Source organism: Homo sapiens, chromosome X (assembly GCF_000001405.40).
Source record: "Homo sapiens chromosome X, GRCh38.p14 Primary Assembly".
Lineage (NCBI taxonomy): Eukaryota > Metazoa > Chordata > Mammalia > Primates > Hominidae > Homo > Homo sapiens.
Window position 1 is genome coordinate 3,103,575 of NC_000023.11, and position 14,137 is coordinate 3,117,711.

Consider the following 14,137-nt stretch of genomic DNA (forward strand, 5'->3'; position numbering starts at 1 on the left):
AACCTACCAGCAGCACAGGAAAATATAATTCTGTAGACGTGCACTACTTACCCCACTAGGACTCTACATAGAGTAGACACTATACAAATGTGATCTCTTTTGATACTAGCTTACCTTTTAAATACATTCAATACAGTGACTATTTTAACTAGGCACAATAATTGAACTTAATTGCATTGTCTTATAGGTGGAAAAGGCATGGGGGGCTGGGAAGGTGGAATCCGCGTCCCAGGAATTGTCCGATGGCCTGGAAAGGTACCAGCTGGACGGTTGATTAAGGAACCTACAAGTTTAATGGATATTTTACCAACTGTCGCATCAGTGTCAGGAGGAAGTCTCCCTCAGGACAGGTGATGTCATATAAACTGTTAACAAGAGCTTATTTTCACCCTTCTTCCTTCTCAGAAGATTCAGAACAAGGAGACTGACTCTATCCTGGCAGACCCACTTTTTCCCTAGTATCTACACAGTTTTACCTTCCTATATGACTGTGTCTATTCAGCATTTTTCAGAAGAGACCAGTCTTTTCTTTTTTTCTATTGAGGTAAAATATACATATATAATTTACCATCTTTACCATTTTTCAGTATACAGTTCAGTGGTAATAAACATACTTATTTTCTTTTTTTCCCCTTCATTTTCCTCTCATCTCTCCCCTCTGGTCATCACTATTCTACTTTCTATCTTCCTAAGATTCACTATTATTTATTTTTAGCTCCCACACTGAGTGAGAAGATGTGATGTTTGCCTTTCTCTGGGCTTGGCTTATTTCACTTAACATAATGGCCACCAGTTCCATTCATGTTGCTGCAAATGACAGGAATTCCTTCTTTTTTAGGGATGAATAGTATTCCCTTGTGCATATATAACACTTTTTAAAAAGTTAATTTGTCTGCCGATAGGTGGTTAGGTTGATTCTATAGCTTGGCTATTGTGAAGAGTGCTGCGATAAACATGGAAATGCAGCTATTCCTTTGATCTGTTGATTTCTTTTCTTTTGGGTGTATACCAAGTAGTTGGATTTCTGGATCACATGGTAGCTCTATTTTTGGTTTTCTGAGGAACACCTCACCACGCAAAACAGATAAAGCAAATTACAACCGAAAATAGAGATGGACAGATTTATAACCAGAGGTCCTGAACAAGTATCAGAGACCAGTCTTAGATACTAATCTAATGCGGACCATCTTAGATACTTTAACATTTTCAATTGAGAGAAAGATGGAGACAGGAAGCTTTGGAGATGAAGACATGGTAGGTAAAACTCACTCATCTCTATAAGAAAGGGAAAAATAATCCTAGTCTCTGGTGTGAAAGATCTGGAAGACTGAGAAGAAGGTAAGATATTTGAGGATGCTTTGAACTCTATCATGAATACTTTGAATTTCTTCAAGAGGAGATCGTTCATACTACATTGCTCCATTCCCTGGCAGCAACCAGCCTAGGTAGGTTTGCTGCTGATTGACAGTTCATTGATCACAGCTCTGCAAGGGAATCCAGATGGGTTAGAACCGCAGCTATGTCTCTCCTCCAAGCCCACAGAGTTCTTGTAATATTTCTTTCTTCACGTAACAAAGCTAATCTATTTCTGAAGAAATAGGTTCTGTTGGCACTAATACAGAAAAGAAAAATATTTTAGAAGTCATGGTTAACTTACTGAAAAACAAACTATCAAGAACTAATCAAGACACATCCCCAAGTTTGCCTTTCTAATATTTAAAAATTTATGTTTGATGCTAGCAGATATCTCTATCAACACACTAAGGCTGGAATTTATTTTATAATTTTCGGGACTGAACTTTAGATGAAGACATTTTTATTTTCTGCCTGGAAAGAAGTTAGTCATTGATGATGCTAACACAGGAAAGAAAAAATATTTTATTCTTTATTTTTATTTATTTTATTTTTGAGACAGAGTTTCGTTCTGTTGCCCAGGCTGGAGTGCAGTGGCACGATCTCAGCTCACTGCAACCTCTGCCTCCCGGGTTCAAGTAATTCTCCTGCCTCAGCCTCTCCAGTAGCTGGGACTACAGGCACCGGCCACCACGCCTGGGTAATTTTTGTATGTCTTGTAGAGATGGGTTTTCGCCATGTTGGCCAGGCTGGTCTTGAACTCCTGACCTCAAGTGATCCTCCCTCCTCAACCTCCCAAAGTGTTGGGATTTACAGGTGTGAGCCATCATGACCAGCCCAGAAAAAATATTTAAAAAACCACTGTGAAGTTATTGCAAAAAGAACCTATCAAAAAACTATGGAGAAGCCCAGCTTTCCTGTTCTACCATTTAGAAATAGTTGTTTTAAGAAGTCTGTCGTTCCACATAGCCCAACAGCCTGTTAGGGAGACGGCAAATGTCCAGGCACAATATTGTTACGTTGCATGAGGGTGGAAGGCAACTGCTGCCAAGTTCCAGCCGTTGTCCTCACGTTAAAAAGAAGAACGAGTTGATTGGAGTCACTCATCACTCCAGTGCATTCGGCGCCATGAGATTACATGCTCATTTGGTCAGGGGTTTAGGGTTATGAGTTTGGTGTCCTTGATAAGATGTATAGTACAGCTGTCCTTTCCTGCCTGCAACCATGACTCCACTAGCCATAGGCTAAGTCTTCAGAGGACGCACCATCTTTGTAGTTCAACGGGAAGTGGAAGAATATCGCGAAGATGACTAAGGCACTGTGGTGGGAGACCTAACCTCAGCTTCACGTACAGGTCGGCGTGCCGGGTACTACTCATCAGGTTGATTTTTTGGTTATTCCTATGCTTGGTTCTCCCAAGCCTCTTTATTTGAATTCATGACTTCTTTGGCATGTGCATTGACCAGTTAAATATGTCCTTGCTAATAGAGAATAGCTGTACTACGTAGAAGGGAACAAACAGCAAATTCACAGTATCAGGCTCACTGTCTATGACACCAGCATCATGAGGGCCTGTGGATACCTCTCTCCTGTCTGCTTCAATCCCCAACACAATGAAATCAACAAGAAGAACTCAAAAGCGGCTCTCACCTGTACAGAAATGAAGGCTGCTAATACTGTAAAAGCCAAATAGTTATTTATTTTTAGAATTAACACAATTTGTTTCACCACCTCATCACACAAAACAGATAAAGCAAATTACAACCAAAAATAGAGATGGACAGATTTATAACCAGAGATCCTGAACAAGAGTGTAGAATAGACAAAAAAGAAAAGTAAAGATAAAACAGAGGACACCATTAATGTGTAGAAACACGGGAATCTGAGGATGCAATGGTTTATCAAAGTGTTGGGAAAAAATGACTTATCAGGTATGTGGTTTACCAATACAGCTGTCCCTTGGTATCCATGGGGGGTTGGTCTCAAGACCTCACGTGGATACCAAAATACCCAGATGCTCCCGTCCCTGATGTAAAATACTGTAGTATTTGCATATTACCTACACACATCCTTTTGTATATATTAAATCATCTCTAGATTACTCATAATACCTAATACAATGTATGTAAATGCCACATAAAATAGTTGTTATATTGTACCCTTTAGGGAATAATGACGAGAAAAAGTCTGTACATATTCAGTACAAACAAGACCGTCCCTAAAAGGACCATAAGCCTAAATGTAAACCCAAAATTATAACACTTCTAAATAAAACATAGGAGAAAATCATTGTAATATTCAGATAAGAAAATAATTTTTTTAGATTTATCAAAAAAGTTGCAAGCTATAAAAGAAAAAAGTGATAGATTAGTCATTATCAAAATTTAAAATTTCTGCTTTTCAAATGTCAATATCAAGTAAATAAACATGTGACCTCAGTCCATTAGTGGAGAAAAAAAGAAAAGAAAGAAAAAATTAAAATATTAAATATGAACTTAAAAGAAAGTTTAAAAGAAAAGAAAAAGACAAGCCGTGGAGTAGAAGCAAATAGTCATCCCTCTGAACTCAGAGGTTCTGCATCTGCGAATTCAATCAACTGCAGATCAAAAGTATTTCATAAGATTTTCTAGAATAAAGAATCTAGAATAGCCTAAAATTTTTTGAAGAAGAAAATCATTTGAAGACTCACTACATAATTCCAAAATTTACTATAAAGCTAGAGTAATCAAGTTTAAAAGAGTAATCAGGATGGTGTTCTAATGCTCTAAATTTTTAAAATTGATATTTAATATTTTAATTTTTTTCTTTTTTTCTTTTTCCCCACTAATGGAGTGAGGTCACATGTTTATTTTCTTGACATTGCCATTTGAAAAGCAGAAGTTTTACATTTTGATAATGGCTAATTTATCTTTTTTTCTTTTATAACTTGTGATTTTTGTGATAAAACTTAAAAAAAATTTTCTTATCAAAAGATCACAGTGATTTTCTCCTATGTTTTCACTTAGAAGTTTTATAGTTTTGGGTTTACATTTAGGCTTATGGTCCACATTGAGTTAATTTTTTAATGTGGCTTGAGGTATAGGCTGAGATTTATTTTCCTTGCATTTGGATATCCAATTTGTCTACTGTCATTTATTGAAAGACAGTCCTATCTCTACTGAATTATTTTGAGCATTTGTTGAAAAGCAGTATACGTGTTGGTCAATTCCTGGACTCTCCTATTTCATTGATCCATTGAAACCCTTATTTCAACACTACACTGTCTCAATTAGTCTAGCTTTATAGTAAATCTGGGAGTTATGTAGTGAGTCTTCAAACTATTTTCTTCTTCAAAAAATTTTAAACCATTCTAGGATCTTTATTTTCCCATGTAAATTTTGGAATAAGTTTCTTCCTTTCAACATAAACCTTTCTGAAATTGTGATTGAGATTGCTTTAAATCTATAGATCAATTTGCAGAAAATTGATGTCTTAAAAAACTTTGAATTTTCCAATCAATAAATATAGTTCATTTCTCCATTTATTTCTCTTATTTGGTGCTTTGTGGCTTTTCTCATACAAATTTTTCACATAAAAATGCTATCCCTAAATACTTCATGCTTTCTCATGTTATAGTACATGATACTTTAAAAAGCTATTCCCAGCTATTCATTGCAAATATATAGACATTTTTAAAAGTTGTTATTGTATTGTGTGATCTTGCTAGTCTTACTCATTATTTCCGGCAGTTTTTTCAGTGATAATTAACATAGGAAATCATTGTATCTGATAGTAAATATAGTTTTATTTCTTTTAAGATCCTTTTTAGGCATGGCACGGTGGCTCACACCTGTATTCCCAGCACTTTGGGAGGCCAAGGCAGATAGGTCACCTGAGGTCAGGAGTTTGAGACCAGCCTGACCAACATGGTGAAACCCCGTCTCTACTGAAAATACAAAATTAGCCAGGCATGGTGGCACACGCCTGTAATCGCAGCTACTCAGGAGGCTGAGGCAGGAGAATTGCTTGAACCTGGGAGATGGAGGTTGCATTGAGCCGAGATCGTGCCGTTGCACTCCAGCCTGGGCAACAAGAGCAAAACTCTGTCTCCAAGAAAGAAAAAAAAATCCTGGCTGGGCGCGGTGGCTCACGCTTATAATCCCAGCACTTTGAGAGGCCGAGGTGGGTGGATCCCCTGAGGTTGGGAGTTCAAGACCAGCCTGACTGACATGGAGAAACCCCATCTCTACTAAAAATACAAAATTAGCTGGGTGTGGCGGCACATGCTTGTAATCCCAGCTACTTGGAAGGCTGAGACAGGAGAATCCCTTGAACCCGGGAAGCAGAGGTTGCGGTGAGCAGAGATCACACCACTGCCCCTCAGCCTGGGAAACAAGAGTGAAACTCCATCTCAAAAAAAATAAAAGAGAAAAATCCTTATCTGGGATGTATTATTATGTGTCCCATTACAAAGCAGGTTTTATTATTATTGCTTTCTAATACAAGGCATAAGATATATTTTCTAATATAAATTTTTAAAATTCATTTTAGTTTAGATTCAGGGTCCCATGTGCAGGTTTGTTATTTGGATATATTGTGTGATGCTGAGGTTTCTATTAAATTCATCACCCAAGCAGTGAACATAGCGCCCAACGGGTAGTTTTTCAACCCTTCCCTCCTCCCTCCCTCCTGCTTTTCGGAGCCCCCCAGTGTCTAATGTTCCCATCTTCATGTTCATGTGTACCCAGTGTTTAGCTCCCATTTGTAAGTGAGAACATGGTGATTGGTTTTCTGTTTGTGCGTTCATTTACTCCATTTCTCATATAAAATTAGAAGTATATGACTTTTTAGTGATTACATAAAATTTTTTCAAAGGGTAGCAATATAATTGCAAATGAAGTTCAGATTTATGAAATTGCCATAAATTGCTGAGCTGTGGAGAGCTCTGTGTCGCAGCCAAGGCTGTCTGATCTTTTCGCCTTTGGGGCATGCATTGTCACATTCCTCGGCCTCATCATTTCAGGATCAGAACTTAGCTTTCTTCTCTTGTCCACTGGAGTGTAATCTCCCAGAGAGCATGCATGAGTTTTCCTAAAGACTCAGTACGCTGTCCTCTGGACCTGAGGCATGACGCAGTCTTCACCAAGTACCCTTCAGGTAGCTTGGGACCCAACGTCCCTTCTCCTCATTTTCCTTATCTGCACTGTCTGTGTCTCTGCAGGGTCATTGACGGCCGAGACCTCATGCCCTTGCTGCAGGGCAACGTCAGGCACTCGGAGCATGAATTTCTTTTCCACTACTGTGGCTCCTACCTGCACGCCGTGCGGTGGATCCCCAAGGACGACAGTGAGTGCTCAACCCGTTGCTTCCTGTTCCCTGCCAGGAGCAGGGTCACTCAGGTGTATCCTGAACGCATTCTTCCTTTCCTCTCTAGACCGGTCCTTTCATTCCAGGGCTCACTGAACACATGGTTTTGGAGAAGTTTCTCAGAATTGCTCTTCTGCAGAAAGGCAGGTGGGGGTAATGGAGATGCTAATTGGCTTCACTTAATTATCTCAGCAGTCGCACATACATTAAAACATCACATTGTGCATGGAAAATCTATGCAATTTTTACTTATCGATTACACTTTAATAAAGAAAACAGATGTATGAACATAAGATTTGCCTATAAAGTTAGAGAGACACTTTTACGAAACATACATTTTTAGTCAGGTGTGGTGGATCACGCCTGTAATCCCAGAACTTTGGGAGGCCGAGGCGGGCAGATCACTTGAGGTCAGGAATTTGAGACCAGCCTGGCAAACATGGCAAAGCCCTGTCTCTACTAAGAAATACAAAAATTAGCCAGGCATGGTGGTGCACACCTGTAGTCCCAGCTACTTGGGAGGCTGAGGCGGTAGAATCACTTGAACCCAGGAGGCAGAGGTTGCAGTGAGCTGAGATCACACCATTGCACTCCAGCCTGGAAGACAGAGTGAGACTCCATCTCAAACAAAAACAAAACCAAAAAATATATATACATTTTTAGAAACAGGACTGATATCTGCTGGAAAATGTGTATATCATTTCACCAGGGAACTCTAATGTTCTCGTTTTGTTGTAAGGATTGCATAATATTTAGCATTGACGTGTGGGCAAAAAGAAGCCCAAGAACCAGCCTTGAGAAGACGGAAGAAGACAAGAGAAGCCAGCACCTTGGGTGCATGCCTCTGATGTGCTTTCTTTCTTTCTTTTTTTTTTTTTTGGAGATAAAAAAATATGTATTGAATATCTTCTATGGGCAGGTTATTTTGTAGGCATAAGTGGTCATGGCTAAACTTTCATTTATAAAAATCAATTCTAGGCAGACTAAAGATAAAATGTAAGATTAAAAGTGTTAGAAGAAAATGAGTTTATGACCCAGAAATTGGAAGTTTTTTAAATTTTTAAAAAGTGGCACACATATAATAATATGCACACATTGCACATGAAAATTGGGGATATCTAGTGATATTTTGAGATAGGCAATGCATAGTGATCAGATTAGAATAATTGGCACATCCATCATCTCAAACATGCATAATTTCTTTGTGTTGGGAACATTGAATATCCTCCTTCTAGCTATTTGTAACTATGTAACATATTATTGTTAACTATAGTTATTCTACAGTGTTTAGAACAGGAGTCCCCAACTTTTTTGGCACCAGGGACCAGTTTTGTAAAAGATAATTTTTCTGCAGACTGGGGTGGGGGATGGTTTTGGGATGATTCAAATGCATGACATTTATTGTGCACTTTATTTCTATCATTATTATATTGTATTACATAATGAAATAATTCTACAACTCATCATCATGTAGAATCAGTGGGAGCCCTGAGCTTGCTTTCCTGCAACTAGATGGTCCCATCTGGGGGTGATGGGAGACAGTGACAGATCATCAGGCATTAGATTCTCATACGTAGCCTGCAACCCAGATCCCTCGCATGCACAGTTCACAATAGGTCTCGTGCTCTTATGAGAATCTGATGCAGCCACTGATATCTGACAGGAGGAAGAGCTCAGGCAATAATGCCAACGATAGGGAATGGCTGTAAATACAGAGATAAAGCTTCGCTCTCTCCCCCAACCACTCACCTCCTGTGTGTGACCAGGTTCTTAACAGGCCACGAACAGGTACCAGTTTGTGGCCTGGGGACTGGGGACCCCTGCTATAGAACACTAGGACTTCTTCCTTTGATCTGGCTGAAGTGCGCATCATTTGACGAGTCTCTCTTTTCTCCTCCAGGTGGGTCAGTTTGGAAGGCTCACTATGTGACCCCGGTATTCCAGCCACCAGCTTCTGGTGGCTGCTATGTCACCTCATTATGCAGATGTTTCGGAGAACAGGTTACCTACCACAACCCCCCTCTGCTCTTCGATCTCTCCAGGGACCCCTCAGAGTCCACACCCCTGACACCTGCCACAGAGCCCCTCCATGATTTTGTGATTAAAAAGGTGGCCAACGCCCTGAAGGAACACCAGGAAACCATCGTGCCTGTGACCTACCAACTCTCAGAACTGAATCAGGGCAGGACGTGGCTGAAGCCTTGCTGTGGGGTGTTCCCATTTTGTCTGTGTGACAAGGAAGAGGAAGTCTCTCAGCCTCGGGGTCCTAACGAGAAGAGATAATTACAATCAGGCTACCAGAGGAAGCCTTTGGTCCTAACGAGAAGAGATAATTACAATCAGGCTACCAAAGGAAGCACTAACTTTGGTGCTTTCAAGTTGGCAAGGAGTGCATTTAATAGTCAATAAATTCATCTACCATTCCAGATTATTAAAGGCCCACTGGTTGTTCCACTTGCTGCTTTTTTTTGGATTCCTGTGGATAAATGTTGATTGAAATTTGTTTTATTTCCCGAAAGCTTATAATTTACTAATTCTCTTATAAAAAATCCGCACGATGGCCGCTGATAATGTCACTGCAGAATTGCTACTTCTTCTGTTTGTCACCCAGTCTCCACCTTGCCTATCGCCAGCACCAACACTGGCCTTTGCAGTCTTCCTGACTTTCTTTGTTTTGTTCTTTCATTCCATTTGCTGTTTCCTTGAGGTCTTTCTCTTCTCACATGGGCTGTGTCTTGCAAGTCTATGTTTGGGTTCATTTTTCTTTGCATAATCTGAAGATTTGTAAATCGTGCCAAAACCAGTTGTCTTGCCACCACCAAAATGAATTCTGAATATGAATACAAAGAGGACATCCTGGCTGGGCACGGGGGCTCACTCCTATAATCCCAGCACTTTGGGAGGTTGGGGTGGGGGGATCACTTGAGGCCAGGAGTTTGAGACCAGCCTGGCCAACATCATGAAACCCCGTCTCTACTAAAAATACAAAAATTAGCCAGGCGTGGTGACACATGCCTGTAATCCCAGCTACTTGGGAGGCTGAGGCGGGAGAATTGCTTGAACCTGGGAGGCAGATGTTGTAGTGAGCCAAGATTGCGCCACTGCACTCCAGCCTGGGCAACAGAGCAAGTCTCCGTTTCAAAAACAACCAAAAAACCAGGACATCCTGTGTGGTCTTGTCCATTTCGGCTAGTTTTTCCTGAATATCTGTCTTAGGTGCTGTTGCCTTCCTGGGGTGAAGGACATCGATGACCATTTGTTGCCTCTGAAGAAGTCAGTAGCTCATGACCTTCCTGTGTAGATAGTTACTATGTCATCCATGTTGACAGCTGAGGGCACTGGCACCATCATAACTCACTGAAGACTCCACAGCAATCCTCCCAGTTCAGCCTCTGGAGTAGGTGGCACTGCAGACACATACCACCACGCCCGGCTCTTTTTATTCTTTTGTAGAGAATGGGTCTTGCTATGTTGCCCAGGCCCATCTCAAACTCCTGTCCCCAAGTGATCCTCCTGCCTCAGCCTCCCAAAGTGCTGGAATTATAGGCATGAGCCACTGCATCAAGCCTAATTTCCATTTTCTAAACGTGTCTTTCCGTGCCAGAAAACAAGCACCTACAGACACTTGTGCCATCTGCTCAGTTGCTTTGCTCTAAATATAAGGCCCTGTGTCATCAGGAGGCAACATACGAGGCATTTAAACAGTGCATTAAGAGGATCAAGTCTAAACGTGGCCACTAACCAACCAAAAGGGTTTATGTTTGTCAACAACAGATAGAAATTGAATCAAGAGTGGTGCAATAATTCAGCAAAACGTGTGTGAACCCAGAAAGTCTGAGACAGGTCTCAGATAACTTAGAAAGTTTATTTTGCCAAGGTTGAGGACGCGCCTGTGACACAGCCTCCGGAAGTCCTGACAACATGTGCCCAAGGTGGTTGGGGCACAGCTTCATTTTGTACACTTTAGGGAGACATGAGACATCAATCAACATATGTAAGAAGTACATTGGTTCGCTTTGGAAAGGCGGGACCACTTGAAGTAAGGGCTGGAAGACTTGAAGTGGGAGGGGGCTTTCAGGTCACAGACGGTGAGACACAAACAGTTGCATTTTTTGACTTTCTGCTTAGCCTTTCCAGAAGAGGCGATCAGATATACATCTATCTCAGTGAGCAGAAGGGTGACTTTGAATAGAATGGGAGGCAGGTTTGCCCTGAGCAGTTTCCAGCTTGAGTTTTCCTGAGTCATTTTGGGGGCCCAGGATATTTTTTTTTCACACATGCTAGCACTGAGTGACATAGCAATTGGTCTCCTGGCAGCCTGGAAATTTCAGCAACAGCTGATAAGACAGCGTGGTGAGCAGCCAGGTTCTAGAAAGCAAAGAGAAGTAGGCATCAACAACCTGGGAGGAGCACTGCTTTGATCCCCCCAGAATGTGCCAGACCATTAATGAAGTATCTTATTTCCTTCTTAATTCAGCCTCATGATTTAGGTATAAACACTTGTGTGAGATTGCCCAGAGCTGCCATAAAAATCACCATAAACTTGGTGGTTTAAGAAAACAGACATTCATTCTTCCACAATTCTGGAGGCTAGAAGTTCAAAAATCAAGGTGCTTCCTCCGAGGCCCTGGGTAGAATCCGTCCTTGCCAATCCTTGAAATTCCTTGGCTTGTGGACATATCACTCCAATCTCTGCCTTTGTCATTACATGAATGTCTACGCTCTGTGTCTTTAAATCTCTCTCTCCTTATAGAGAGAGATTATAGTCATATAGAATTTAGAACCCACCTTCATCTACTATGACCTCATTTTCTCTTGATGGCATCTTTAAAGACCCTATTTCCAAATAAAGTCTCATGTGCAGGTACCAGGATTTAGGACTTTAATGTAACCTTCGAGGAGGTCATAATTTAACCCTTTGCACCCTTATATACCAAGAAGAGTACCTGGGACTTGGAAATGCTCTGTAATTTGCTCAGGAGAACACAGCTTAGGTGTTACTGGGCTGAGACTGGCACCCTAGCCATGCCAATCCCAAATCTCCATGTACATCAACCCTATGGTGTTGAAGTAGGAGGCGCGACTTGACTCCAGAGGTGGGGGTTGGACACCAGACCAGATTGAGGGCTAGCTAAAACAGGGCAGACCAAAGCAGCTTTCAGTCAGACACGCCCATCAGTGTGCCATGTCAATTTACCATTGCCATGGCAACACCCAGGAGTTACCACCTCTTTCCATGGCAATGACCCAATAACTCAACGATTACTACGCTTTCCCTAGAAATTTCTGCATAACCCGCACCTTAATCTGCATGCAATTAAAAATGGGTATATATTTTGGGAGGCCGAGGCGGGCAGATCATTTGAGGTCAGGAGTTTGAGACCAGCCTGACCAATATGGTGAAACCCTGTCTTTACTAAAAATACAAAAAAAAATTAGCTGGGTGTGGTGGAGCATGCTTGTAGTCTCAGCTACTCAGGAGGCTGAGGCAGGAGAATTGCTTGAACCCGGGAGGCAGAGGTTGCAGTGAGCCAAGATCGTGCCACTGTGCTCCAGCCTGGGAGACAGAGTGAGGCACGGTCTCCAACAAGGAAAAAAATACAAATAAAAATAAATGGGTATAAATATGACTTCAAAAAAAATATGCCCTGAGCTGCTACTCTCTGCCTGCAGGGTAGCCCTGTTCTGCAAGAGCAGTCACGGAGCTATAACACTGTCACTTCAATAAAGCAGTTTTCTTCTACCTCTGGTTTGCCCCTAAATTCTTTCCCGAGCTAAGCCAAGAACACTTGTGGGCTAAGCCCCACTTTGAGACTCACTTGTCCTCCAGGAGTGTCTCTCAAAGGTGCAACCCCAGGAGTAACATAATCATGTGTGTTCGTCAATTTGCAATTGCAAAAATGTGGAACAAGCCCAAATGCCCATCAATCAATGAGTGGATACAGAAATTATGGTATATATATGTACAATGGAATATTACTCAGCCATGAAAATGAATGAATTAATGGCATTTGCAGCAACCTGGATGGGTTTGGAGAGTAAGCGAAGTCAGTCAGAAACAGAAAACCAAACATCGTATGTTCTCACTCATAAGTGGGAGCTAAGCTATGAGGATGCAAAGGCCTAAGAGTGACACAGTGGACTCTGGGGACTCTGGAGGAAAGGGTGGGAAGGGGGTGAGGGATAAAAGACTACAAATTGAGTGCAGTGTATACTGCTCAGTGATGGGTGCACCAAAATCTCACATATCACCACTGAAGAACTTACTCATGTAACCAAACACCACCCGTTCCCCCAAAACCTATGGAACTAAAAAAAAAATTAGAAAATTATGTGTGTTTGACTTATTTCAATGGACTGATACTGTTGCCTTGTCTTTACTAAGGAGTAATATGAATGTGTCAGGTGAAATACAAATAACTGTCTTAATATTAACTATTAAACAAGGATATCTTTTTCCTAAGTGATTTGGGGCAACCATATTAGACCTTATTTGTCCACAAAAGAATTCCTTACAAAGGCTGAGCATTTTTCTGCCACTCTTTGTTCTAAGATCTCTAAAACATCTTCGTTTTCTCATCACTCTTAGGAGGAGGTTCGTTTTGAATTTAGAATACCCTAGAACAGAATCTTAGGATTTTAGCCTGAGAAATAACTTCTGAAATCGTTTTCTCAAATGCTCTTATATTTGCAGATGAAGAACACAGAGTGTGAAGACACGAAGCGGCTTTAATGAGTCTGCACTGTAAAGGGAGCAGGACCATGAGGTCTGAACCCAAGGTTGTCAACCCCAAATGCAAGGTCCTTCTCCCTCCCTGGCTCCGGTCCTTCCATTTTCTTTAACCACATGGCAAGGAGAAGGTAGTAGATAAAAGCAAGCTATGTACAACCAAGGGAACACGTTCTTTTCCACACAGTGGTGTTCAGAGGTGGAAAGAATGTTCTCTAGGGTTTGACACAATTGGGGTGAATGGGAATTGTTCTTCTTGCCAGCTAAATATCTTTGGACATATTCCCTAATCTATCTGTACTTCAATTGTTCCCTCTGTGAAATGCAACTAAAAAGTGTATTACCAGACTTACAAAGATTAATGGAGATAATATCTGTAAAAGACTTTGCACATAGCGCATAGGCCCATAGGTAGCTCTTAATAAGTATTATATTTCCTTTTCTAGTGGTTATTTTGAAAATACCTTAAGATTAAAATTGAAAGAATGTCATCTATCAAAATGATACAAACCTTTGCCATTGGTCTAAACACTCCAAACTCAATGCTTAATTAACCTATCATGACCCATTGCATCGAGAAAATTACCTTCACCTGCCTTGTCTATCCGAGGTGGTCAATATTTTCCATATGCCCCTTAAGCCCTTAATTAACCTTTTTCCCTAAATAGAAAGATAAATTATACAATTCAGTCTGCAAATATAGTTACT

The 14,137-nt window shown here is 41.0% G+C and overlaps 1 protein-coding gene and 1 pseudogene across 6 annotated transcripts in view; one reads left to right on the plus strand and one right to left on the minus strand.

Annotated features, from left to right (window-relative positions):
* The window catches only part of ARSF (arylsulfatase F), a 72,494-nt gene extending 63,341 nt beyond the window's left edge, over window positions 1-9,153 (plus strand). For 5 of the 6 annotated variants that reach the window (NM_001201538.2, NM_001201539.2, NM_004042.5 and 2 more), the window contains exons 9-11: window positions 188-350; window positions 6,554-6,678; window positions 8,600-9,153. In NM_001201538.2, the coding sequence (NP_001188467.1) occupies window positions 188-350; window positions 6,554-6,678; window positions 8,600-8,982 (671 nt within the window). In that variant the 3' untranslated portion in view covers window positions 8,983-9,153. The remainder of the gene's footprint in view (window positions 1-187; window positions 351-6,553; window positions 6,679-8,599) is intronic. The other variant, XM_011545524.2, reaches the window with a different exon arrangement.
* On the minus strand, window positions 9,216-9,556 carry RPS24P21 (ribosomal protein S24 pseudogene 21; annotated as a pseudogene).